The 888-nt window shown below is 47.1% G+C and overlaps 1 non-coding gene across 1 annotated transcript; it reads left to right on the top strand.

The window, feature by feature from the left end:
* Positions 1-328: 328 nt before the first annotated feature.
* LOC124900407 (small nucleolar RNA SNORA70) lies at positions 329-462 on the top strand. Its single transcript, XR_007066480.1, has one exon. It is a non-coding gene; the product is annotated as a small nucleolar RNA SNORA70 (small nucleolar RNA).
* Positions 463-888: the final 426 nt, after the last annotated feature.

The following is an 888-nucleotide window of genomic DNA, read 5'->3' as shown; positions in this document are numbered from 1 at the left end:
TCATTATATGATTACACCACAATCTAAGTATCCATTCCACCTTTAGTGGCCATTCATGTTGTTTCTTTGCAATTATGAGCAATGCTGTTCTATTTTTGTATGTGTCTTTGAGGGCACTTGGGCAAGAACTTCTAGAGGGCATGTACCTAACATTGGAATTACTGGTCCCTGTGTGTGTGCACGTTGAACTTTCTAGATAATATCAAACTGTTTTCTAAAGTTGTTACAGTTTGACTCTGGGTACCCATAGTCCCAGCTACTTGGGAGGCGGAGGCAAGAGGATTGCTAGAGGCCAGGAGTTCAAGTCCTGTCTGGGCAACATAGGGAGATCCCATCTCTTAAATAAAAAGATTTTTTTTTTAAGAAGTTGTACATGTGCAATGGCTGCAAACAGCAGCTTCCTTGGCAGTGTGTGCAGCCTGTTTCTTGTATGGGTTGCTCTAAGGGACCTTGGAGACAGGCCTTTCAGATGGGGGTTCATGTCTCTGACCTTGCACTACCCCAATGTAGGCTCCAAACAGGCATGTGAGGTGCCTTTGGAAAGAAAGCCCCAGGGCACTGTGGCCAGGGTTAACATTGGCCAAGTTATCATGTCCATCCGCACCAAGCTGCAGAACAAGGAGCATGTGATTGAGGCCCTGTGCAGGGCCAAGTTCAAGTTCTCTGGTCACCAGAAGATCCACATCTCAAAGAAGTAGGGCTTCACCAAGTTGAATGCTGATGAATTTGAAGACATGGTGGCTGAGAAGCGGCTCATCCCAGATGGCTGTGGGGTCAAGTACATCCCCATTCGTGGCCCTCTGGATAAGTGGTGGGCCCTGCACTCATGAGGGCTTCCACTGTGCTGCCCCCTCTTAATACTCACCAATAAATTCTACTTTCTGTCCA

Source organism: Homo sapiens, chromosome 18, assembly GCF_000001405.40.
Source record: "Homo sapiens chromosome 18, GRCh38.p14 Primary Assembly".
Taxonomy (NCBI): domain Eukaryota; kingdom Metazoa; phylum Chordata; class Mammalia; order Primates; family Hominidae; genus Homo; species Homo sapiens.
The sequence above is the reverse complement of the archived record's forward strand: the minus strand, read 5'-3'. Positions and strand labels throughout refer to the sequence as shown.